General features: G+C 48.8%; 1 protein-coding gene across 70 annotated transcripts, besides 3 other annotated features; it reads right to left on the bottom strand.

Moving 5' to 3' along the window:
• Positions 1,311 to 25,078, bottom strand: ZFYVE27 (zinc finger FYVE-type containing 27). Of its 70 annotated transcripts, none has more exons than NR_169808.1 (13): positions 24,881 to 25,078; positions 23,532 to 23,729; positions 19,042 to 19,112; positions 18,575 to 18,613; positions 17,302 to 17,477; positions 13,842 to 13,937; positions 12,620 to 12,732; positions 11,736 to 11,875; positions 10,744 to 10,815; positions 9,024 to 9,168; positions 4,895 to 4,941; positions 4,483 to 4,564; positions 1,311 to 2,970 (listed from the first exon to the last, which is right to left on the bottom strand). NR_169808.1 is itself a non-coding variant. In NM_001385876.1 (13 exons), the coding sequence occupies exons 2-13, from the start codon at positions 23,726 to 23,728 to the stop codon at positions 2,906 to 2,908; spliced, it is 1,269 nt and encodes a 422-aa protein (NP_001372805.1). In that variant the 5' UTR covers position 23,729; positions 24,881 to 25,078; the 3' UTR covers positions 1,311 to 2,905. The 70 variants fall into 70 exon arrangements, 52 of the variants coding, with proteins under 52 accessions (NP_001372805.1, NP_001372800.1, NP_653189.3 ...); NR_169805.1 differs by lacking the exon at positions 18,575 to 18,613 and adding an exon at positions 7,348 to 7,479 and having other exon boundaries at positions 17,291 to 17,477; NR_169801.1 differs by lacking the exon at positions 18,575 to 18,613 and adding an exon at positions 7,348 to 7,479 and having other exon boundaries at positions 10,744 to 10,830; positions 17,291 to 17,477; positions 24,885 to 25,078.
• Positions 1,667 to 2,166: an enhancer, noted in NCBI's record as "H3K27ac hESC enhancer chr10:99519797-99520296 (GRCh37/hg19 assembly coordinates)". NCBI's record gives its function as "activates a minimal SCP1, AML or CMV promoter by ChIP-STARR-seq in naive H9 embryonic stem cells {active_cell/tissue: H9 hESC(naive)}" and the evidence as "EXISTENCE:reporter gene assay evidence [ECO:0000049][PMID:30033119]".
• Positions 2,639 to 2,688: a silencer, noted in NCBI's record as "silent region_2687". NCBI's record gives its function as "represses an Ori minimal core promoter by ATAC-STARR-seq in GM12878 lymphoblastoid cells {active_cell/tissue: GM12878}" and the evidence as "EXISTENCE:reporter gene assay evidence [ECO:0000049][PMID:35858748]".
• Positions 24,813 to 24,882: a silencer, noted in NCBI's record as "silent region_2686". NCBI's record gives its function as "represses an Ori minimal core promoter by ATAC-STARR-seq in GM12878 lymphoblastoid cells {active_cell/tissue: GM12878}" and the evidence as "EXISTENCE:reporter gene assay evidence [ECO:0000049][PMID:35858748]".

Genomic DNA, 25,078 nt, shown 5'->3' with positions numbered 1-25,078 from the left:
ATGGACAGTTTGTCTTGTAGGCCACCCACGTGCAGGTCCTCTCCATGCTGTGGACGCAGCCAGTTGTGAAGCACAATCCCTCCGTGACTTCGCTTCCCAGCGGTACCTGCAATTTAAAGTTATGTCCCCTGCCTACTCTCAGGGGCACCTCAAGGGGACAAGGCCCTCTAGCATCCCCTTCTCGGAGGCTGTTACCCAAGGATGGAAACTCATGCTTCTCCCATCTCTGTAATCCATGCCTGCAGGCACAGACTTCAAGTTACTGCTGTTATGGTTGAGATTTCACCAACATTTGGCATTTTCATTTTCCAAAAATAAAATGCATTGACTGCTTTTCCAAACTACACTTGTGCCTCTCTGATACTCTTCTCTGAAGAATCATCTAAAATTACACTCTGGTTTAAAAAAAATAAATCACTGTTCTAAGCCACCCAGGACAGAGCTGTTTGTCCTCTGAAGGTGGCCAGGATGACAGGAGCCAGCGTGTCCAGCATGCCAGGCACCGGGCCCCATGCCTCCCGTCGACTCTCTCATTTCTCTCACAGCACCCGCACAAGCTATGCATCACCATCAGGTGCACTTTCCAGAGGAGGAAAGCACAGTGAGCCTGGGGGCAGCATCCCTATGCCAATGGGCCCCAGCACCGCTCCAACAGATGGTAAAGGGGTCCAAGCATGGAGGTGGGCCACAGCAGGCGCCAGGCACCACCCTCTACTGCTGCAGGGACTCTGCTCCTACTTCAGGGGAACAGTGCCTACCTCAGAGTTGCTGTGAGCAATAAATGAGATACTGCACGCAAAGCCCTCACCAGTGCCCAGCACCCAGCCACCCACCACCCACCTGCCCCAGCTCAGGGCATGGCTTGCACTTCCCATCTCATGTCCAATCCTCTTTCCTGCTGCTCTCAGCCTCCCTGAAGGCTGACCCTTTCTGGCTTTCTCAGAGGGATTAGTTAAAATCTTTCCGTTGTAAAGCCTGCATTGTTTGGGGTTTACCAAGTTCTAGTCCCAACCCCAACCCCCAGTGCTGGGCCCTCACAATTGGGTCACAAGACTGGGCCTCAAGTCAATCCGACAAGCATTTGCTGAGCCTCTCCTGCGTGCAAGGCACAGCTTTCCTCCTCTTGGCCCCCAGCTCATACCCAGACCAGGCTGCAGCCCCCACGCCCCTGCCACCATGGTGCCCCAAAGGCCCGCCCCTCAGCCTGGTCCTGCAGGAATTGCCCAGGCCTGCAAAACTCCAGCAGTGCCAGAGAGATCTGGTCTTCCAGCCTCAGGGAAAATGCCAACACAAAGACATGACAAAAACAAGAAGCTTGAGGCCTTTTTATTGACAATTCTCCATAGACACAGAGATCCTTTTAGTTCCTCTCCAGTGTAAAGAAAGCACGGGGTACTGAACTCTCCTCTCTTAAAAGGACACAGAGGCGATACGATACCAAAGCCTGTCTGGCTCCCCAGGGCTGTGGCACCTCCACTGGCCTGGGTAAGCCCCTGGCTGCACAGCCCCAGCTAAGCTGCTTGGCTCGGCAAGAAAGCGGGCCTAGGATGGGTCCCTTGCCTCCCCAGCCTGCCTCTCTGGACCCCTGCTCCTCGAGTGTAGAAACCTCTCAGCCCCCTCATGGGTCCTGGGTCCCAGGCAGCCCATGACTCCAGGGAAGAGTCCTAGGTAGAAGACCCCCACCCCCAATTCCTCCTCATCCCATTACTTGTGCCACATGTTCCCAGGAACCATGCAATAAATAAATAAATACTTGAGAAAGGCAGGGCAGCTCCAGGGAAGGGAAGGGATGCCTGAGCCAGCTCATGGCTAAGGGAGAGATACTGAGCCCGTAAGAGTCCAGTAGTGAACATGAAACTGTTGGAAAGAAATGGAGACCCCCAGGGGGCCTTATCCCATAACTGAGACTGTCCTCCAGGGAATAGCCCTGGAATCCAGGACCCAGCCCAGCGAGATCCTACACTACCCAGGCCCCCAGGGGTCAAGGGCTTCAGGACCTCTGCTCCACTCACCTGGCCTCCCACTCCATTGGACAAGAGGCAGGGAAAGGAAACTGGAGTGCTGGGCCAGTGGAGGACTGCCCTAGACTCTGGACAGAGGGTGCAGAAGTTGTGATCCAAGTGCCCTGCAGCTGCTCCAGCGGAGCTGGGGACACTGGGGCATTGTGTGGGCTGAGAGTCTGTGAATTGAGGTGTCTTCGAGGGGAGGCCGAGGTCTGTCCAGCTATTGGGGCTTCCCCAAGCTTTCCTCCACTTAACGCTGAAGGACTCAGCCAAACCCTCCTATACACATTCTCCTCTCAGGGAATCTGGGAACTTCAACCCTGTTTCTAGAAGCACCCATGGTCTTGTTAGGCCTGGCCACACCCTCTGATGGGGAAATGATGAGATCCTGGTGCCTGGAGGGACATTCAATCAGCAGAGATGGGGTGTGGCACTCCCAAGCCCTTCTGCAGGCTCTCTGAGGCTGAGGGCCTGGCCCAGTACCCTGCAGGAGAAAAACCTCTTTTCCCAACCTCAGGTCTGGAATTCCCAGGCACAGCCACACTGACCCTGATCTTCAGACCCCAGTCAGGCCTGGCCTAGTTCGCTGCTGCCCTCTGGTGGCTACTGCCTGCCCAGCCCTAAGTCCACTCGCTCAGTCCCAGGCAGAGCAGGACAAACATGCCAGGCCCTCCAGGGGCTCTTCTCCCTCAAGGGATTGAGAGCAGCCATTGCCAGCCACTCTCATGGATGGAGAACAGCTCCAGAATCCAGCTGGAGAGAGTGAGGAAGGAAGGGGAAGCCTACCTAGCATTCAGGCCACATTTGCCCAGCACACACCACAGTGGGCCAGGGGTGGGGAGAGTGGGGGGTCTACTGCTGGTCCCAAGGACGGGTGCCTGGTTGGACCCTGGCCTCTCTTCTCACTTGCTCAAGGTCTGGTTACACGAGGCACACACAAACACAGTCTCCCTCTGGGCTTCAGGGGCTGAAAAGGAGGAAGAACTTGGTGAGACATTTCCTTGCGCCCTTTGGTTCATGGCCCCAACTACTAGAAGCACCCTCCCAAATGCCCCACACAGACCCCCCACCCAGCCCACACCCTCCCTGCCCAGCTTGCTAGCCTGCCCGCAGAGATTCTTCTTTCCATGGGAACTGGGGATCCTGGGGGTGATGATGCCAACAGCAGGCCACTCCTGTGCTATGAATTAGACATTATTGTGGCACCAACAGAACACCTTCAAAAATTTTTAAATAAAATATTAAATACAAAAATTAGCCAGGCATGGTGATGCACGCCTGTAATCCCAGCTACTCAGGAGGCTGAAGCACAAGAATTGTTTGAACCCAAGAGGCGGAGGTTGCAGTGAGCCGAGATGGCGCCACTGCACTCCAGGCTGGGCGACAGAGCGAGACTCTGTCTCAAAAAAACAGAATAAGTAAAATATCACAGTGAAATTTCCCAAAATGTTTTAACAGTGGTTACCTCTGGGTGGTAAAATTACAGGGTTATTTTTCTCTTCCTTCGTCCTCTGTATAATAATTTCCAAATTTTCTAGTTAGTAAGCATATGTTACTTGCATCGGAAGAAAAAAGAACTTGGGCTGGGGGCGGTGGCTCACGCCTGTAATCCCAGCACTTTGGGAGGCCGAGGCGGGCAGATCACCTGAGGTCAGGAGTTCAAAACCAGCCTGACCAACATGGAGAAACCCCGTCTCTACTAAAATACAAAATTAGCCGGGTGTGGTGGCGCATGCCTGTAATCCCAGCTACTCGGGAGGCTGAGGCAGGAGAATTGCTTGAACCCAGGAGGCAGAGGTTGTGGTGAGCCAAGGCCGTACCACTGCACTCCAGCCTGGGCAACAAGAGTGAAACTCCGTCTCAAAAAAAAAAAAAAAAAAACTTGGTTTAACATTATACTACAAAACGGTACATGAAATGTGACCACATTTTTCAGGAATATGCATGTGCTTTTATTCTACATGCAAGCTAATGAGCAGCAGGGTCCATGCCCGATTGTTCTCTCAGGAAGAAATCAGGAATTTTTTTTCCTTTTGCTTATCTGTGTTTTTTATTTACAATATGTATAGGAAATATTTTATATTTTATAAAAGGAAAAAAAGGAATTTTTAGTTTTGTTCAAAGTGCCAAGGAAATAAGAAAAAGATTAAAATTGCGGCTGGTGATTGACTCCAGGAAGGCAGGAGCAGTGCTGGGAGCTGCGGGGGTGTTGCCAGGGCTCTTGTTTTTCAACTTTAGTGAAGCAGCCACAGGTATTCATCTTGTTATTACCCTTCACAATTCACAGGTACATCATATCTATTCTTCGGCATGTACCAAATGTTTCAGGATTTTGCTAAAGGGGATGGAGGAAACGTTCCCGTAGGCCTGACTACAATCCCAAGTTCCCTTGACCTCTGACACCCTTGCCTCTGTGCCACAGCGTGACATCCCCTGGGCGGGATACCAACCAAGCCCTCCCACCACCTGCACCACTCACCTGTGGCCCCCATGGAGGACTTGGGCACCTTGAAGGAGCAGCATCGAGAGCAGAAGCTGTTTCCACAATTACTGCAGCTCCGCTGCAGACAAGAGCCAAGGTCAGATGTGTCCCTCACCCTCAGGTACCTGGAGTTCTCAGCACCTCCCTCCTTTCCACCAGCTGATCCCACCCAAGGAAACTGGGCCTGGGGGGTGCCCAAGTGGAGCAGGAAAGAGAGCAAATGGAATACCCCCTGGGGAGGCTGGTAAAAGGTGGCACAGGCGCAGGGGAGGGCACACTCACTCCAGAAAGCCACTGCCAGGCCCAATGTGACCCGAGCCAGACTTTCTCAATGACTCCCCTCAACTCCTCCCCACCCGACAGTCCCAAGGACACTGTCCCCAACAAATGCACCCTCACAGACACTCACCCTCTTCTTCAGCACTGAGAAGGTGGCCGAGCAGCCCGTGCAGTTCCCTGAGAAACAGAGGCAGCAGCTCAACCCCCGCCCATCCCAGGACTCTCACGCTCACCTGCTCCTGGCGCTTCTAAATGGGACACTCAGGACACCAGCCCAGCCTCCTTGGCTGGACACAGTGAGCCAGGGAGCAAGGCCAGATTCAGAGACAGAAAGAAGGACTCAAACTAAGAAGACTGATAGCCCCTGAGGACTGATGTCTCCAGCCATACATAGCTACCAGTCCCTGAACCCTTCCAGAGCTGAGTGGCCCTACCTACAGGTTCAACAGAAATCAAAGAGCACCCAGCAGAATCCACTCCAAGAAAGCCAGCTAAGCTGGCAGGGACCTGACCACAGGCATCCCCAAATGACACCTGCCTAACATGACCCTTTCCGGAGCAATGCCTTACAAATACTCCACCCACAGGCTAAAGACAGAAACTCCTAAAAACCTAAACTCCTGCTTTCTGTCCCCTGAAGACTGCAGGAGAGAAACTCAGAGCCAGGCACATTCCAAGAAGACATGAAGGGTAGAATGCTCAACTGTAAAGACACGAAGGGTAGAATGCTCAATTGTGGTGGGCAGTGAGTGGCATGGGGGGACGCAGAGCAGGGAGAGGTCCTGCCTAAACCACCAGAGATGCCAAGATGGCCAAGTGCCCGGCAACAGTGGAGGGGCAACGGCAGCTTAGAAAATGGCTAGAAGACAACAAGGGGGTGTAAGGGGAGAGGAGAGACAGAGAATGAGGTTTCTGGGATGTGGGGCCCATAGGCCTGCTATGACCCAGCCGGACCACCTGTCTGGGCAAGTACAGAGCACCAGGCCTCACTTTCACAGAAAGGCCCCAAAGCTTTATTGACGGCTACATGTGGTCCCTTCCTCTGTCCAGCCAAAATCACCTGAAGTTCTTGCTAAAGGAGACTCCCTAGGTTCAGGGAAAGGAAGACCTCTGCTAGAGCCAGGGGAAATCTGAGGCCAAGGTGCTTCAGGTAAATGCCCACCCTGTCAGTCAGCCAGGGAAAGAGAAGAACAAGCCTACTGCTGGTGCCAAACCAGGAAACTGGCTGCTCCAAGATTCTGTCCCTACACCAAGAATTTGGGGAAGGCAGCCTGCCCCAGCCTCTCCTTAGCAAGGGACACAAGGGGAATGGGACAGGCAAAAGGAGCTACTCAAAGACTGACACTGACCTGAGCCCAAGGTCTCCTCTAAACTGAATGGAATGTCAGGGCCAAGCACCCCAGGGCAGCCAAGTGGGCTGGGGAGACAGCTGTGAACCCACTCACAGACCGGAGCCAGGGAGGGCTCTGGGAGCTGAGAGCAGCTCAGCCAGGTGACGTTCCCTTCCAACACCTACCAACTCTTTCTGCCCCTTCTCAGCAACAGCCTGGACTCACCCATCCTCACTCACCACGTGACGATGCCACCGAGGCCATGACAGCAGGGGCACTAAGGCCCAGTGGGGCCTGCCAGGGCAACAGTCATGGAGCCTCCAGGACAAAGGGGGGCCCTCCCCACCAAGACCTCTCCCATACGGAGGCCACAGAGAAGCTCCTTTGCAGTCTGCCCTCATTCTCCCCATGCACCCCCTCATCCACTGGCAGGGGTAAATAGAATAGCCCCCACCACAGTCCCCTAACATTCACATGTGGAATCCTAACACCCAAAGCAGGGCCCCTGGGAGGTGACCGGGTCATGAGGGTGGAGCCCTCGTGAATGGGATTAGTGCCCTTATAAAAGAGGCCCCAGAGAACTGCCGTGCCCCTCCCACCTTCTCATGAGGACACAGTGAGAAGGTGCTGTCTATGACGACGGAAATGGACCTCACCAGAACCTGATCCTGCTGACACCCTGATCTTGGACTTCCAGCCTCCAGAACTGTGATGAGAGATTTCCATTATTTAAAAGCCCCCCAGCTTAGTGTATTTCGTTATAGTCGCTGAAATGGAGAAAGCCCCCAAAGCAGCTCCCCTCGCCCTGCTCTCAGGACCCAGGTTCAGGAGCAGAGGCCGCAGGAGCAGAGCTGCTACACCTGCCCTCATGGCAAAGAGCTTGGGAACATCTCAGAAAAGGGAAAGTAGCAAGTGGTCTTGAAGGATGAGGAACTAAGAGGAGTTTAGGAAAAGAAGCACTTTCTGCCCTTGCCATCCTTGAGGGAGGCTGAAAAGGCCTCTGCCCATGCTGGTAGAGATTATCCAAACCAAAAATCAAATACAAAAGCGGGACAGGCATAAAACAAGGGACTTCACACGCAAGGGCAAAGGGAAAACAGAGAGGGAGGATGAAGAGGTAGAAAGAAGACAAGAGCCGAATCAGACAACCTGAATTTGAGTCACAGCTCCACCATTTCCAGGCCAAAGTCTCTGGGCAAAGCACTCTTTTTACCTCAGGTTATTCATCTGTAAAATGGGAACAGCTAAGTACCTTTACTTAGAAGTTGTAGAAATAGACAAATTATTTGCTGGACCAGAGTAATACTTCTTGTGTGTAGTGTTACCGGGCACTGCTGGAATCTGGCTGCTCTGAACCCTTAAGAACTGCCTGCTCCTGTCACACCTACGGTAAGGATGAAATGAGATCACACATGTGCAAGTATGGAGGGTAAACAGATCACTGAACATACAGAATGCCCTGCAGAAGTCAGCAGGCAGCATAAATAAAACAAAGGGGCCGGGCGTGGTGGCTCACACTTGTAATCCTAACACTTTGGAAGACCAAGGTACAAGAATCACTTAAACCCAAGAGTTCAAGACCAGCCTGAGGAACAAAGTAAGACCCTGTCTCTACAAAAAAAATTCAAAAATTAGCCAGGCATGGTGCTACATGCCTGTAGTCCCAGCTACTCGGGAGGCTGAGCTGTGAGGATCACTTGAGCCCAGGAAGTCGAGGATGCAGTGAGCTGTGATCATGCCACTGCACTCCAGCCTGGGAGACACAGTGAGACCTTGTCTCAAAAAAAAAAAAAAAAAGGGATCTTGAATAACTGGGGGACATTCACACAGCAGAAAGAAAGAGCCTGTCCAGGACATCTAATCCTGAGAAAACAACTGCCCTGGCTGCTGCAGGGGTAGGAAGGCAGGACCCTGGGGGCCCTGAGTCAAATTCCTCAAGATAAACTCCATTGTCTTCTTCCAGGGCACAGACCCTAGAACTCACTCAACACCAGAACACACAGTACTGCCCCCTTACCCTGCTCCCATCTGACAGCAGGCAGGAGGGCCCTTCCTCAGGAGCACAGCAGCTCCCAGGTCAACCTAGCTACTCTAGGTTTCCACCATAATTGTATGTGGCTCAGCTCTCAGCGCTGCTGATCTGAGCCAGGTCTCTAAGCTGTGCTGTCAAGTCCACCCTTCTCCAAAGCTGCCTTCCTTGACCGCTCTCCCCCGACCCTCAGTAAAATAAGGACTGGCTGGGGAGAGGTGAACTCAGGGCTCTATCACGTCCAGAGAAACAATGTTTGCTTCAACTTGCTTCCAGCTGGATAAGAAAGACCAAGACAGGATCCTAGGAACCCACAGCGTGGGTCAGGGCCTCCCACATTAACCGCACCCACTACTTACTATGAACCAACCAGCACTGTGCTAGCCCTTCGTAAGTACTACTGTCTCATTTGACATGAGACCTGTAACAACCCTATGAGGTAAGAATGATGATCCCCCTTTTACAGAAGGGGAAACTGAGGCACGGGGTGTGAAATAATTTGCTCAAGGACACCTGGCTGAGCTGGGATTTGCAGCAGGCAGTGAGACTCTACTCTGTTCCTCACCATCATGCTACACTGCCTTCTGAAGTTCTGTCAGGATTATGGTTCTCTACAGTCCTGGGATGGCATTTCCCAAACTGAGTTCCTTGTCTTCCCACAACTGAATGTCCAATCAGGATGGAGGGACAAGAAGGAACCCACACCCACTCCCTCAGCAGTCCTGCCGGGCATCTGCTAGCTCCCCGGGGTCCCGCGGACACACCTTCACTCCCTGCTCTTGTCACAAGTCAGTACCCACAGTTCTGAGACTCTGCCCCTGTGGCTGGGTGTTCCCCACTAGAGTCCCAGAAGTCCACCCCCACTCCCCCACCAGCCCAGCCCTGTCCCCTGGCCGCACCGAAGTTGTTGGTGGGGTAGCGCTTGCGGAGCCGCTCCGTGAGCCGAGACACCTTGCTGCGCAGCACCTCATTCTTGCTCAGGAACCCGTTGTCCTGCAGGGCCAGCTCATCCTCTGCTGGGCACGGGGCGCCCTCATCATCCTCCTGTGGGAACAGCTCCTTCCAGTCCTGCCCACCTCTTGCAAGGCTGCAGGACCCGTGTGCAGAGGCATCCTGCGCGGCAGCCCCCACGAGGTGTGGCAGCAGCCGGTTCAGCCACCCTCCCCAGCCCAGCCCCTGCCCACCCACCAAGGCTTCCACTTACCAGCACCACCAAGTGGGTCTCCTGCCTCCCAAGGTGCGGGGAAGAGGAGAGAAAACAGAAAGAAAAAGATAGCAAGAAGAAAGAAGCTACCTGGAGGGGCCCCCAAGCAGAAGGAAGCATGGAAGCGCTGCTCTGAGCTCTGCGCACTTCCCAAATGGTGACATTGACAGACGCCCCCCACAAGAGGATCCCAGCATCAAACAGCCTTGGAGAAAGCTAGGTACTACAGTTTCTCAAACTGGGTGAAAATAATTTAGTAGGTCTTTATTTGAATAGAACAGAAAAGGAAAGAAAATATCCCTTACAACGTATTTTCCGGAAACTTTTGTTTCACTTAAGTTTTACATATTTTATAGACCTAAGTGTGACCTGGGTCAAGATGCAAAATGTGTTCCTTACTATGGGTCATGAACAAAAATGCTTGAAAACCCCTGCTCTACATATTCCCTCCACCAAGATTCACGGTCTACAATCATATATCAAAGTTTTGGAGCAATCTTTTAGCCATCAGAAAGTCAAATGCCTGCATGGCCTGGGCTGATGTATGATTGAGGTGAGTTGGGGTAAATCACAGGCCTGGTGGAAATCCACGAGGTGTTTTTCTTATATCTCAATTTCCCACTTTACAAAGAGAAATAAATAAAGAGAAATGATATCCTACTCTAAGAAAAACAAAAACGCAAATGTGACAAATGGCAACTCCCACTTGACCTCAGTGACAAAATACAGCAGGGGGTGTTGAGGACCACCTGTAGCCACAGCATGTGACCTGCGTAAAGGGGACAGCAGCTCCTTAGCTACACCTACTGCTGCAGACTCAGGACTACCAGAGAAACTGGAAACCTGCAGTTCTAATAAAAATCTCTCCATATTTAAACATTGGCTCAAAAAATTATTTTGAAACTTTGCATGCCAAATAAAACACTTCTGCAAACTACCAATTTGAATTACCATCCTAAAATCAAGAAAGCTGTTTAACTTCCTCTGACCTAGCACTTGGCCATGCAACTACTTTCTCCAACCTCCCCTCCCAGCCCCGCAAAGGGACATCTTACGGAACTCACTCTGCAGAAGAGCGGAGACCCAGGGCAGTAGCCTCCTCAAAAGCTGCCTTTCCTATATCAAAGGCACCAAGCCCACGGTCTCCAGCAAAGGCCAGAAATCGTCCAGCTCCCCTAGCAGGGCATTACCCGGAGACTTCCAGAGCCACTCTTGCCCTGGGCACCCAGGACAGCTGGCTCAACCAGAAACAGGAGTGGGGAGGGGTTCAGTGGCACTCTTTCAACCAGTGAGTTCTAGCTCACAGCAAGTTTTAGCTTCTCACTTGGACATTAAAAAACAAAAACAAAAAACAGCTCCAGGACCACCCAATTTCTGGCCTGCTGAGTAGAGGATGCTGGGGAAGGGCCACCCACCTCAATCGCATCTTTAAACTCTTCATCTGGCTCAGCCTCCTCAGCCTCCTCCACGCTGCCCGGTGTGAGGTCCTGGGAAGAGAGACTCTATGACAGAAGGAGAAGGATGGCAGCGCTGCTCCCTAAGGCAGAGGACCACCTCCCCAAGCCAGCATCCAGGCTACCCAAAACACCACGAAATGGCACAATGGCAAGAAAGAAGGAACTCACAGGAAGGAGCAACCTCTAGCCTGGCAGGGCGGGGGAGATGGAAACACGAGCACAGCTGGCCCTACAGTGGCCACATCGCACAGTGGTTGAAGGCACGAGCTCTAGAACCACAGGGCTGGGGTCTTAGACCCAGCCCTGCCACTTACCAGCCACTCTGTGCCTCAGCCTTCTCTTCCACAAATGAGAATGATCTCTTTCTCAGAAATAACCAGCCTGGTGCAGTGGCTCACGCCTGTAATCCCAGCACTTTGGGAGGCCGAGGCAGGCACATCACTTGAGCCCAGGAGTTTGAGACCAGCCTGGGCAACATGGCAAAACCTCATCTTTACTAAAAATACAAAAAAATTAGCTGGGCGTGGTGGCACCTGCCTGCAGTCCCAGCTACCCAAGAGGCTGAGGTGGGAGGACTGCCTGAGCCCAGGAGATGGAGGTTGTAGTGAGCTGTGATTGCCCCACTGCCCTCTAGCCTGGGTGACAGAGGGAGGCCTTATCTCAAAAAAAAAGGAAAAAAAAAAAAGAAAAGGAAAGAAAGAACCTGCACTCCATGATGTGAATATCTATCTATAAAGCACTTGGAGCAGCATCTGACACAGGGTAAGCACTCAGTGAAGCATGGAGTAGCTGTTTTTATTACAATTATTATTATTGAACACTTCAGGGGAGTTAAGGCCTGGGAAATAGCAGGAACTACAACAGAGGCCAGCCCAGGAGCCAAAAACAAGCTGATAACAGGGGGGCCCACAAGCGGCCACAGCAGGCTCTGCCCTGACAGTGGCACTTACCTCCGTGGGTGTGAGGGCAGGCGTGCTGTCCATCAGACCATCCTTCCCCCCAACATCTGGTGGTGGAGGACTCTCAAAGGCATGCTCTTCCTGCTTTGGGTTCATCCTCTGCTGCAGAGATGCCCTGTACTCAGACACAACTACCCAGGGAATGGAGAACAAGGTAGGAGGCAAAAATGAGACACCGTGAGTGGCACTTTAGGGGTACCCACTTCTGCAGCTGGCTGGCCTCTCTTCCCTTCACTACAGGAAAGAGTCACCCTCCTAACTCTGAGCGAGTCACCTAACTTAAGCCTCTTAAACAAAACTTAGATACCACCACCTGCCCCAGACAGCTACAGAGATTAAATGTAGTAAATGCTCAATAAATCATGGCTTCTGTAATAAATAACTCTACCACAGGGAGGAAAACAAATACAGCAATCACCCAAACATATGTACAGACTCGGGCCTCTGCGACTCAGTGCCTCTCCAGACTGCCTCAGCGCTTTAGAAGCCAGACAACAGAGGGGTATTCTGGGATCACACAGAGATGTGGTAGCAACTCCAGGTGGCTGCACCCCAGGGGATGGGTGGCAGCTTTGGGAAAAACATCCTTCCCTCATCTTCCAGAAGCCATCATATCATATAAGCAGTGATTCATCTGCCTTGGGAAGGGAGCGAAGGGAGATGGGAGCCCAATGGTAGCAGCCTCCCCTGGTGAGATTCCAGCTTCATCTAACATCTCAGAGATGCAGAGCCCATGAGAGAGGACCCCAGTGTGGTGTTGCACTTGTGGAAGCACAGCAAACTGATGATTAGCTGTAGAGACAGAAGAACTGGGGAGCCTAGCCTAGCCCTCAGAGCCAGCTTGGGCCCCATCTTTCAGGCCCTTCAGGGCTTACCTCGGAAGAACTCCACATTCCCCAGAAAGAGCGTGCTGTTTAAAAGGGTGAGAACCCAGCAGAGTGGCAGCAAATACAGCATGCAGACTGTGCCCAGAAGAGCCCCATAGAACCTGGATGACAGGGAAGAACCACAAGATCAGAAATTCGTAACAGCAGAAGGAGACGGGTTTGGAGCACACCCACAGCAGGGTCCAGGTGAGACACAGCTCTGGGCACATTAATAAACTGACAAGAGCCGCTCATCAAACCAGCGGAAAATGGCGATGAAGACTGAGAACTATCCCAAGTCACCGGTGCAAACACCTGATGCTGGTGAGGCCAAAGTGGTGTCAGCTGGTGGCACATAAACTGGTTCAACCATCATCACTCCTTAAGGTCTAGACTCTGAAGTCTAGAGTAAGACAGACTGGGATTTGAATCCAGCTCTGCCACTTCTCATTCTGAGAAGTCTCTTGGTTCTCTGGGCACAGCTCCCTTCCCGTGTAAGATGGGGACTGAAGTAGCGCCTACCTAATAGAGTTACTATAAGAGTGAGATAATACAGAGGGAGTGTTGAGCAGTGCCTGGCACCAGGTGAACACAACAAACATTAGTTATCACTATTATTCATATTAAAGAGCCTCAAAAACACCCATTCTGTTTGATATGGTAGTTTCATCCTTGAATTTACTCCAAGAAAAATTTTCTAAAACATTAAAGCTAAATCCATAAAAATGTTTACCATGGGGTTAGTAATGAAAAGGGAAATTGACTAAATCTGTAACAGAATGGTTTCACAAATTATATTTGCCATCTATATTAATCTGGTATTATAAATAATTCCAAAAGCTATATAGCAACAAAGAAAATCATCTTTAATATAATGATAAGTGGAAAACAAAAGAAAAATTGAACATACACTATGAAACTATACATCCGTAAAGTAGATGCATGTGACAAATTCTAGCAGGCAAAACAAACAAGAGATTCGGCTGCATGGTGGATTATATGGTGAGTTATTTTTCTATTATTATTTTTACCACACATAAAAGCAAGCATCTAAACAAAAGCAGTACATTAGAGCCCGCAAGCATATGTGCAGATATACACACAAGAGCCCAGGAGGCGAGCTCTTCCCCTGAGGTAAGAGGGGCAGAGGTCCTCTCAAGGCAGCTGGCTTTGCTCGGGCTCAAGCTGCAAATTCCTATAGGGTGGTGGCGGGAGAGGAGGGGTCACTCACTGTGAGGACACGACGGGGTTCTCCCAGTGCAGCACGCGGTAGGCGGCTTCACATGTGCAGCACAGGCGGCTCAGGAAGGCCTCCAGCTGGATCAAGCTACAGACACAGGGGCTTTGGTGAGTGGGCAGGACAGAAGCCCTGGGAAGTGGAGCCTGGGGCCTTGCAGGTACAGTTGGCTAGGGATGGTCAATCTCTTTAAACACACTCACCATGTGCTTAAAGAGAGAGGAGTCGAGAGAGCATGGGAGAAACAGGCCTGGCTAAGCCACCCCAGCTACATTTCAGTCCCCTTTTTGGAGCCTCTTGCTGAGGTGGAAACAGTATAAATGTTCCTGCTTTGGTCTTCTAACTGTTGATGTCAGGCAGGCTACTGAAATTCTCCAGGGCTGTGGCTTCTTTATCTATAAAATGAGGATCAGAGGACCCACCTCACGGGTACACAGCAGCTGTCAGAATAAATGGCATGATATTCTCTACCTGGGATGTGAAACAGACTCACTTGGGGAGTTCTGGTTGTTGTTTTTTTAAACATGGATGAACCACAGAAGCCATGAGCACAATCTGAACCCAGATCTGGGTTTCTGAAGGGAAACCAGGAAACATGGAGATAAGCTGATTCCAGGGCTGGGGCAGGGAAGTATAAGATGAATTTGACCATCCTGTTGTACCATAAAGGAAGCATTCAAAAATGACAGGGACCAATGCAAACAAGAGCCAACTCAAAAGAGCTCCTACTGGCCAAATCTAGGACAATTTGAGATCAAAATAAATAATGATAGTAATAGATTCTAACTCATCAAATAAAATATAAATCTATGAGTTCATACTGATAATAGTAAGAAAGAGCTTCCTTATAGTAGAAAGCCAGCTAAAAAAATGTCGATAGAATAATTAGAAGATCATCTTTGCAACCATCATAGTAATAAACTGATTAAGGCAAGACCCATCAATGGATTTTTAAAGCAGTGGATAAATGTTTGATGAGGAACAAGATATTTACATAGTCTCAAAGTATCTCCCCTCAAATTACTACTAATGAAGAGTAAAATGATAATTTACAGTATGGATGCCTTAACCAAGTGATCAAAGTCAGTATTTCCTGACATCAGGTGCCTCCTGATACGGATGTACTGAACATGACACATCACTTGTCACACTCTAAATCTGATCACAAGGAACCAAACAATCCAAAAATTAGGGAGATTCTACAAAATAATAAGCTTGTACTATTCAAAAATGTCAAGGTCACAAGAAACAAGGACTGAGGAACTGCTCCAGATTAAAGAAGACTAAAGAGACATAAAAAAATTAAACATGATGTATAATCCTGAATTGGATCCCAGATCAGGGAAACTGATACAAAGAACTTTATTAGGACACCCACACTGGCTCACACCTGTAGTCCCAGCACTTTGGGAGGCTGAAGCAGGAGGATTGCTAGAGCCCAGGAATTCAAGGCCAGCCTGGGCAAGACAATGAGACCCTATCTCTACAAAAAAATTGTTTTAATTAGCAGGGTATGGTGCATGTGCCTGTGGTCCCAGCTACTCAGGAGGCTGAGGCAGAAGGATCACTTGAGTCCAGGAGGTTGAGGCTGCAGTGAGCCATGATCATGCCACTGCATTCCAGCCTGGATGACAGAGCAAAACTCCGTCTCAAAAAGTAAAAAAAAAAAAAGAAAAAAGGAAAAAAATTAATAAAAGAAGAAAAAGAACTTTATTAATACAACTGGTAAAATCCGATTACGAATTATACATTAGTTATCAACGTTAAGTTTCCTAATTTTGATTACAGCTCTGTGGATATTTAAGAGAATGTCCTTGTTCTTAGGAAATACACGCTGAAGTATTAAGTCACGTTTGCAACTTACTTTCAAATGGTTTAGGAAAAAGAAAAGAATATGTATATGTAGAGAGATAGACGAAGCCAACATGGCAAAATGTTAATAATTGTTCTATCTGGGTAAAAGGCATTCTTGGTATTATTCCTGTACTTCTTTAAGTTTAAAACTATTTCAGGCTGGGTGCGGTGGCTCATGCCTGCAATCCCAGCACTTTGGGAGGCCAAGGCAGGCAGATCACCTGAGGCTGAAGTTCGAGACCAGCCTGGCCAACATGATGAAACCTCATCTCTACTAAAAATACAAAAATTAGCTGGACATGGTGGCACATGCCTGTAATCCCAGCTACTCTGGAGGCTGAGGCACGAGAATCGCCTGAACACAGGAGGCAGAGGTTGCAGTGAGCCGAGATCACGCCACTGCATTTCAGCCTGGGTTACATAACAAGACTCTGTCTCAAAAAAAAAAAAAAATATATATATATATATATATATATGTGTATATATATATAAAACTATTTCAAAGTAAGAAAGTCTTTTTTAAAAAAACTACATATCCAGGCCCCACTCCAGATAACTGACTCGGAATTTCTGGGGTGAGGCCCAGCCATCTGTTTGTTTATAACTTTTCTTGCCCCTATTCTATTTCAAGAGAATGCAGAGACCCCACTCCAGGGAAGGGAGGTGTAAACGTCCACTGCTACTGAAGTTGTTAGATGAATATTTTTCAAGTCTTAAAATGCTTCCTCAGAAGTACCAGCTCTGTCATGTTTACGAAGTTTCTCCACAGTGTAGTGATGATAACTAATATCTACTCAACACTTCCCCAGTACAAGACACCTGTTCAATCTTCACAACCACCTTCTGAGTAAGCCCTGTTATCATTCCATTTAACAGATGAGAAACTTGAGACACACAGAGGCTAAGCAACTTGCCCAATGTTACACAGCAAGTAAATGGAAGAGCTGGGATTTGAACCCAGGCAGTGGCTTATACATGCACATGCTTAGTCAAGACCCTAAACTGTCTCTCCAGCAGAAAGAACAGGGCCAGGCGTGGTGGCTCACGCCTGTAATTCCAGCATTTTGGGAGGCCGAGGCGGGCGGATCACAAGGTCAAGAGATCGAGACCATCGTGACAAACATGGTGAAACCCGGTCTCTACTAAAAATACAAAAAATTAGCTGGGCGTGGTGGTGTGTGCCTGTAGTCCCAGCTACTTGGGAGGCTGAGGCAGGAGAATCGCTTGAAACCAATGGAAGGCGGAGGTTGCAGTGAGCCGAGATTGCGTCACTGCACTCCAGCCTGGACAACGAGAGCGAAACTCTGTCTCAAAAAAAAAAAGAAAGAAAGAACAGAAGCTGTGAAAACAAACAGCTAGATCGAGATTCTCATCCCAGCTTGGCCACTTTCTAGCTAAGTAAGTCAGCCTTTTTCTTTACCCATAAATGGAAGATGTTAATATTAACTACCTCCCGGAACTGTTAAAAAGGTTAAATGAAGTAACAGCTGTGGTTTGCCTAATATGATGTCGAGCACACAAAGCTAGCACTTAGTGTCATGGCTGCTGTTACTGTTCCCCCACCTCCCTGGCCTCTCTTCCATACTCACAAGCTCTTCACCTCAGCCACGGCCTCGGGACGAGACAGGCGACCTCTCTGCAGGTCCTCCTGCCTCACGCTATGATACTTCCTCCGCATCAGCTCGGAATCAGGCAGCCGTGCCCGGCAAACCTCCTGAAGGTAGCCCAGCAGGGCGGGCACTGAAATCATCAGGGCACCTACTGAGTACCATGCACCTGCAGAATCAAAAACACTGCAGGTAACACAGGTAAGCAAAGACCAGGAGTCGGCCCACCCAGACGCCCACTGCTTGTTCCTCACCTCCTCCAGGGCTCTGCCAGTCAGGCCTTCCCTGATAGCTCTGTACGACACAGTGTCTCACCCCTACTCTCCAGCCCCCTTAACCCAGCTTCATTCCTCATAGACCTTATCACCACATGACACATTGCAGGCATGTCTGTTGTCTCCTCTAATGAAGTAAGCTCTTGAGGGCTGGGACTTTGTCCCTTTGGTCACTGCTGTGGCCCCATCCTCACTTTTAATACGTTTTAAGATGCTGCTAGCACAGAGGAGGCTCACGCTGGAGTGTGACTGCCAGGAGCTCCTGATGCCTGACACTCGGACCTCTGGGCCACTAAGGAAGCTAGAAGCCTTTCGTTCAGCTTTTAGGACACTGCAGACGATTGTGCCTTGAGAAATGGCGAAGCCGAGATAAAATTCAAAGAAAGAACTTCTTCCATGTAACATGGCACCCCAACAACAAGCTAACAGAGCAGCGGGCCCATAATAAATGCTTACTAAACATCTGTCATAGGAACTGACTTACTTTGGGAGCATATATAGAAAAATCAAACATCCTAGGAAGTTTTGAACAGGTAAAGATGAGTCCAACTAAGAAACAGAAAATGAGATCTTATATGAACTGGATTTATTTTCAACCTACTCAATCCCTATCTCCAGAGGAAACAAAGAAGACACCTGAGAAATACAAGGTAAGTAAAAGAACAAAAACATGAATAATGGCCCAGCTCCTCCAAACATTCTGTCCCAGACTCTTTATTCTCACCCTGAGGGGTTTGGCTTTTTATGTGGCCATCTGCCAGCGCCAACCACGGATAGGGTAGGGTCACGGTATGCACTGTAGTAAGAGGTTCATAGAAGACATTACCCATGACCCCAACAGACACCCATGTGTCCACACTTCTATCTCAAAGGCTTCATGCCACTCCTCACTGCTGGTGACTGCCCAGCAGCTCCCGTTAGGCTCACTAGCTGAACCAGAGAAAAGCAACAGATATGGCAAAAATCCCTTATCAGCTCCTCATCCCAGTACCTTTACTCATGCCATGTCCCCAGATGACCCTTGAATCAGCTTAAAAACCAAAATGGAAAAAGGTCAATGCATCCTCAGCAGGAAGTCAAGAAGGAAACAACGATAATACTGAGAGCAGCTACAATGCACTGGCTGCCTCTTCCACGCCAGGCACTGTGCTAAGTATTATGCCTAGACTGCCGCATTCCTCACAAATACTCTAGGAGGAAAGCGTCATTTTTATCCTCCCTCTAGAGGTAAGGAAAATTAGGCCTTAACAGGGAAGTTCAATAATCTGCCCAAGGTCACAGCAGGCAGCTCAGCCTGGATCGTCCCTCTGGAGGCTGTTTCTGACTCCAAGCAGACACAGAGGAACACTAACTCCAGGGCAACAAGAGCAGCTCCCACACATAGGGTGGGGCTGCATCCAGGTGTTCTTCCCCCACATTCGTTCACAAAAACCACTGGCCCCTGAAGGCAGTTCTTACCCTCATTCAAAGTGAGGAACAAGACGTTGAGGCCCAGGCAGGTCAGCAAGGAACACAAAGGCATCTGCCACCTACAATACAGAGAGTCCTGATCACTACAGAGAGTCACTCCTCCAGCTGGGGAGGGGAGACCAGGCAGCACAGACGGGACATCAAACCAGAAGAGGAGGCCTGGAACACAGAAGGTCAAGGAGAAACGAAAAGGGGGCCTCTCACTTGGACTGGTGACCAGGAGAGGCGGTAAGATGTCACACATTAGCACCTGGGGTGAGGAAACTGGTAGGTCTGTAGTGCTTTCTCCCAAAAGGAAGAAGAATTTATAAAATATCAGTTAAGAAACCCAGTTAATACCATTTAACCTGTGTTTTGTAAGGTTGTATTCTCCTTAAGAGGTGACACTGACAAATGTTCTTAATATTTTCCTCTATTCTTTTTTTATAATTTCATAAGAATATATAATCATTGCACAAGATTCAACTAATACAGAAATCAAGAAAAAACAAATTGTGGACTTCTTTGGCCCCATTTGTGCCTTTATCTTCTTATGTCCATGTTTTTGAAAATTTGAGAGTTTATCTGAGAGTTTATTTTGAATACCTATTAATTCAAAAAGAGAAACAATAGTAAAGATTTTATTTTAATATATTAAAAATCAAGATGAAAGTAGGGTGCAGCATTCACTTAGCAATCACACCTTAAGTGAGCTGGAACAGACAGAAGCAAACACAGATACATCACTGCCACCACCACCACCACCACCAAATGGCAATGCAGAAGCCCCCAAACAGGGAACAAGGAAGACCAGAGACTCAGATTGCTGAGAACAAGCAAATGCTGCTGGCTCCGTCCCTGATAAAGGACATTTAGTAGGGAAAGAGGAGCACAGATGCAACAATGAAGCCACGACACCCAAATTCTAAAGGCAGTGTCAATATATAGGTGAGCCACTAGGAGAGAGACAAACATCAGAAAAATAAACAGGTAAATTGCTGGCAAGCATTGAATGTATTTTCTTTTTTTTTTTTTTTTTCTTTTGAGACAGAGTCTCGCTCTGTTGCCCAGACTAGAGTGCAGTGGCACAATCTTGGTTCACTACAACCCCCGCCTCCTGGGTTCAAGCGATTCTGTCTCAGCCTCCCTAGCAGCTGGGATTACAGGGGCACGCCACCACACCTGGCCAGTTTTTGTGTTTTCAGTAGGGATGGGGTGTTTCACTATGTTGGCCAGGCTGGTCTCAAACTCCTGACCTCAGGTGATCTGCCCACCCTGGCCTCCCAAAGTGCTGGGATTAAAGGCGTAAGCTACCGTGCTGGGGCTAAATATATTTTCTTGTGCTCTGGAGTATTTCAGAGTTACTGAATGAGGTTAACTAATTCATGCAGGGCTTTTACTTTTTTTTATTATTATACTTAAAGTTCTGGGATACATGTGCAGAACGTGCAGGTTTGTTACGTAGGTATACACGTGCCATGGTGGTTTGCTGCACCCATCAACCCATCATCTACCTCAGGTATTTCTCCTAATGCTATTCTTCCTCTAGCCCCCACCCCTCAATAGGCCATGGTGTGTGATGTTCCCCTCCCTGTGTCCATGTGTTCTCACTGTTCAACTCCCACTTATGAGTGAGAACATGTGGTGTTTGGTTTTCTGTTCCTGTGTTAGTTTGCCGAGAATGATGGTTTCCAGCTTCATCCATGTCCCTGCAAAGGACATGAACTTATCCTTTTTCATGGCTGCACATAGTATTCCATGGTGTATATGTGCCACGTTTTCTTTATCCAGTCTATCATTGATGGACATTTAGGTTGGTTCCAAGTCTTTGCTATTGTGAATAGTGCTGCAACAAACATACATGTGCATGTGTCTTTACAGCAGAATGATTTATAATCTTTTGGATATATACCCAGTAATGGGATTGCTGGGTAAAATGGTATTTCTGCTTCCAGATCCTTGAGGAATCGCCACATTGTCTTCCACAATGGTTGAACTAATGTACACTGCCACCAACAGTGTAAAGGGGCTTTTACTTTTTAATGAAATTTATGAGTAAGGGAATGAAATGACATCTGTGTCTTTCTCCTGAAATTCAACACACTCCACCTGTACCACCCTAATTACGCCTCAGAACCTCTAGTGGCAGCTACCAGGGTAAAAGCGAAATAAAAGCCAATCCCATTTTGGAAATAAAAACACCACCACTCAAGTCACTTTCATTTTAAAGCCTCTTCCCTTCTATAAAATGTCTTTACTGACACTTTGGTCCCAGGAGACCCAAGCAGTAGAGTAGCTGATCCCAGGAGAGAGTCTGTTAACAATTTACTGCAGCTCTAGGCTTCAGACCTAATAGCCAGAGCCCAAGATTAGGTCCCTCTTCAAAGTCAAATCCTCTTTACTAAGAAAAGAACAATCAAAAGCACAAACTAACGTGACAGCCACTTTCATGGACCAGTGCTCCCTCTCCCAGCAGCACAGAAACTGCAGGCTCCTGGGGGCTTTTAAGTCCAATGCTCCTCCTGCATCCTGCTTTAACCAATCCTACCACATCCTCCAATTTTTAATTCCATAAAATGGAAAAACCCTAACACATTAGTGTGCTAAGACGCACTACGGACTAGTAGAGGAAAAGGAGACGGGCAGGACAGGATACACTTAACTTTCGTACTTTGCCACAAAGAGCAACACACACATACAAAGAATGTGCCGGGGGCACAGCCTCTCTCCTAAAGAAGACCAAACTTCACATCATGCTGAGATTATAAAAGGAGAAAACAGCCTCTCCTCATACTGTCTCCCTACCCCTTGTGGGAAGAGCACAGTGATCTTACAGTAGAGAACACAGCTCTGGAACACTGACTAGCTCACCTCTACGGATACAGACATAAATTAGGTGAACAAGAAAAATGTAGGGCCTTTGCCAGAGAACTAGTAACAAAACATCCACTATTTCCAGACTGAGGCATGGATAAATACTCAATGGCATCCTCAGAGGTTAACGTAACTCCACTCACCCTGCTTCCTACCAGTCTCTCTCATGTATTTCAGAGGACTGAGGGTCTTTATGAGAATCTGATGAAAACCAGAAGCTTTTCCCTAGAAATACACACATGTGCAGACACATAATTTTACATGCAGTTTCAGGGGATTCACTGATCCCTAAAACTCACCCATAGGCTCCAAGTTAAAAACCTCTGCTCTTTAGGACAATCAGGTTTTTGTGTGACTCCTGATGCAATGCAACACCAGGGGCACAACATTTACCTTTGCAAAAAAAAAAAAAAACACTTTTCTAACTTCAATCAAATCCAACCTTTAAATCTAACTTCTAGTCTGCACCACAAGGAAGAAACCAGACAAATCTCGGTAGTAAATTCTCCAGGAAAGTCAGTTCAGGCTCAGTCTCTTCAGCAAATCAATGTCACGAGAGAGATTGTCTTAGACTGAAAAAAGACTTAAAAGACATAATAAGTACAAACAATGCACACTCCTGGACTGAAATGTGATTTAGCCAAAAGAGATGGTACAACTGAGGAAATGGAATATGAACTGAGTATAGGATGATATCAAGGAGTTATTAATTTTGTTAGGTATGGTGTTACTTTGATCTTGAAAGAAATGTCCTTATTTAGAGATAAAAACTGACATATTTAGGGAGTAGAATGCCATATAAGTAATTTAAAATAATTTTAACATAATAAAATGAGTCAAAAGAAAAAATGAAAATTATAGAGAATGAAAATCAAAGCAGGATAGGAGGGAAAAAGTTAAGATCCATAATCTCAATAAATTAGTAAAAATGGGCTGGGCACAGTGGCTCACACCTGTAATCCCAGCACTTTGGGAGGCTGAGGCAGGAGGATCACTTGAGCCCAACAGTTCAAGACCAGCCTGGGCAACACAGTGAGAGCCTCTCTACAATTTTTTTTTTTTTTTAATTAGCCAGGCATGGTGGCTGAGGTAGGAGGATCGCTTGAGCTGAAGAGGCTGAGGCTACAGTGAGCCATGTTCACACGACTGCATTCCAGCCTGGACAATACAGCAAGATTCTGTCTCAAAAAAAAAAAAAGTAGTGAAAATGGTATCTGCTTATTCACAGGTTTTTGTATTTCTTTAATTTTTGTTCAAAATTATACCCTAATTTTTTAATATTAATTATGCTAATATTGGGGGCAAAGGAAAAAATTAAGCCTGCTCTAAGCTGTAGAAGGCGTGATGTTCAAGGTTGTCCAGCAGTCCAGAGGAAGGAGCTTATTCAGTCACAAAGAAGAACCTTGCTGAAAGGCAGGATCATTCCCAGTATCTGCCTCTCCTGGGCTGGGCCTGAGACACAGGGTAGGCCTAGATAAACCCAGAGGCCGAACAGACCTCCCAGAACTGCTCCTCACTAGGGCAGAAAGGACAGCCCAGCCACTGCCTAAATGGTCAGTGTTAGTTACTACAGAGCAGGACGGCAGAAGGCAGAGCAGACCAGAGCAACTCCACAAAGTCTGTACCTGAGCAAGTATCGAACACCATCACCTGCATCCTTCAAGGGTTCCAGGTAGATCTCCAGCCTCTTGTAGGAGAGAACCAAGTTGAAAAGGTCAAACGCTGGGGACTTGGTAGGAAAAGGTGGAGACTCCAGGGGAGCCTCGGGCATCACGCTGGGGCTCAGCTCCGGCCCACTCCCCTCACGTTCTGATGTCTGCATCCTGTAACCATAATAATTCCCAACATTTGCATTGCACGTCTAGTCCTCAACACAATTCTACCTACAGATTCAGGTGGTGCCAACAGTAAACCTGTGAGCAAGGGAAAGTGAACTATTCAGACCTAAAATCCTGTTCTTTGTACTCTCCATCCAATGCTCTTTTCCCCAAAGATCCATCAAAACTAAAAATCATAAAAACCAAGCATAAATGATCGCTGCAGCGAGGCAGCCCATGGGCTGAAATGAAATGATGTCCTGGAACATTTTTCTCCCACTCTTTACCTGGTTAATTCCTACTCATCCTTCAGGTATCAGCTTAAACATCACTCCCTTACTCTGGGAAGTCTCTGCCAACACCCCCAACTCTGGACTGGGAGACCCTCTCCGATGCTCCCAAAGGATCACGTACTCACCCTAACAGAGCACTTATCACATCACATCGCTTCTTGGCCTTGTGGCTAAGATCAAGTGCAGAGCACTGACCACGTCAAAGTAAAACTCCCTGCTCTTAACTGGCCTCCATTCACGACTGCTTCTGTACACAGTGGGTGCTTAACAAATGCCTGCTGAATGAGTGAATGAAATACCGTGCTCCAGGACTCTCGCCCGATCCTCTAACTCTTCCCACTCCCTTCGGTTCCCAACAACTTCCTGGGCCATCTCTGCCCCAGGGCAGTCGGCATCAGAACGCCCCATTCCCGTCTGCCCTTTCTGATGAGGAAACCGAGGAGCCTTTACGGTCTTTCCCAGTTCAAAGTCCTATCCTGAACTCTAAGCAGCAAACGAGGGGGCGGAACCTCGGCGAAGAGCAACATAAACCAGTCCCAGGCAATCAGCCGCGACCTGATGGGAGGGTGAGGGGATGGGACAAAGGGGCCAACGGGACCCCGAAATCCCCGCAGGCCGAGCCAAGGCGAAAGGGCACAGAGCGGCGCCAGGTATGAGCCCAGGAAGGGGCGAGGTATATCGACGCCCGCACTGGCCTTGGCCAACACCTCTGCAGCCAGGGGGGCCTGATGGAGCCCGTGAGGCTGGACAGGGAAGGCCATGCCCGAGGTCGTGGGGCCAGCATGTGGCGGCCCCCGCTGCGCCCAAGCACCCAACTACACACAGCCTGCGGAGACACTGGGACGCGGGGGGACGGCACCTCACCTACCCGGCCGCTGGCTCCGTGAGGGAGGCGGCAGGGTCGGGCAGGAGCAGGGGTAGAGCCACTGGGCCCCGGAGCGTTTCTTCAGGCCTCCCCCGGCTGAACGCCGCTCCTCCTGCCAGGGTTGTTCGGAAGTCGCAGGTCCGAAAATCTCCTCCGCCTACGCCGCGGCCGCCACCGCCGCTTCCGGGACGCGAATC

The sequence above is a fragment of the Homo sapiens genome, chromosome 10 (genome assembly GCF_000001405.40).
Source record: "Homo sapiens chromosome 10, GRCh38.p14 Primary Assembly".
Taxonomy (NCBI): Eukaryota; Metazoa; Chordata; class Mammalia; order Primates; family Hominidae; genus Homo; species Homo sapiens.
Note: the sequence above shows the minus strand (reverse complement) of the source record. Positions and strands in the feature narration are given on the sequence as shown.

Coding starts and splice junctions, on each gene's coding strand:
- ZFYVE27 (NM_001385876.1), bottom strand. CDS start 23,728: ATGCAGACATCAGAACGTGAGGGGAGTGGGCCGGAGCTGAGCCCCAGC. Junction 19,113..23,531: donor GGTGTTCGATACTTGCTCAG/GTACAGACTTTG, acceptor TCTGTATTGTAG/GTGGCAGATGCCTTTGTGTT. Junction 12,733..13,841: donor AACCCCGTCGTGTCCTCACA/GTGAGTGACCCC, acceptor CCTGTCATCCAG/GTTCTATGGGGCTCTTCTGG.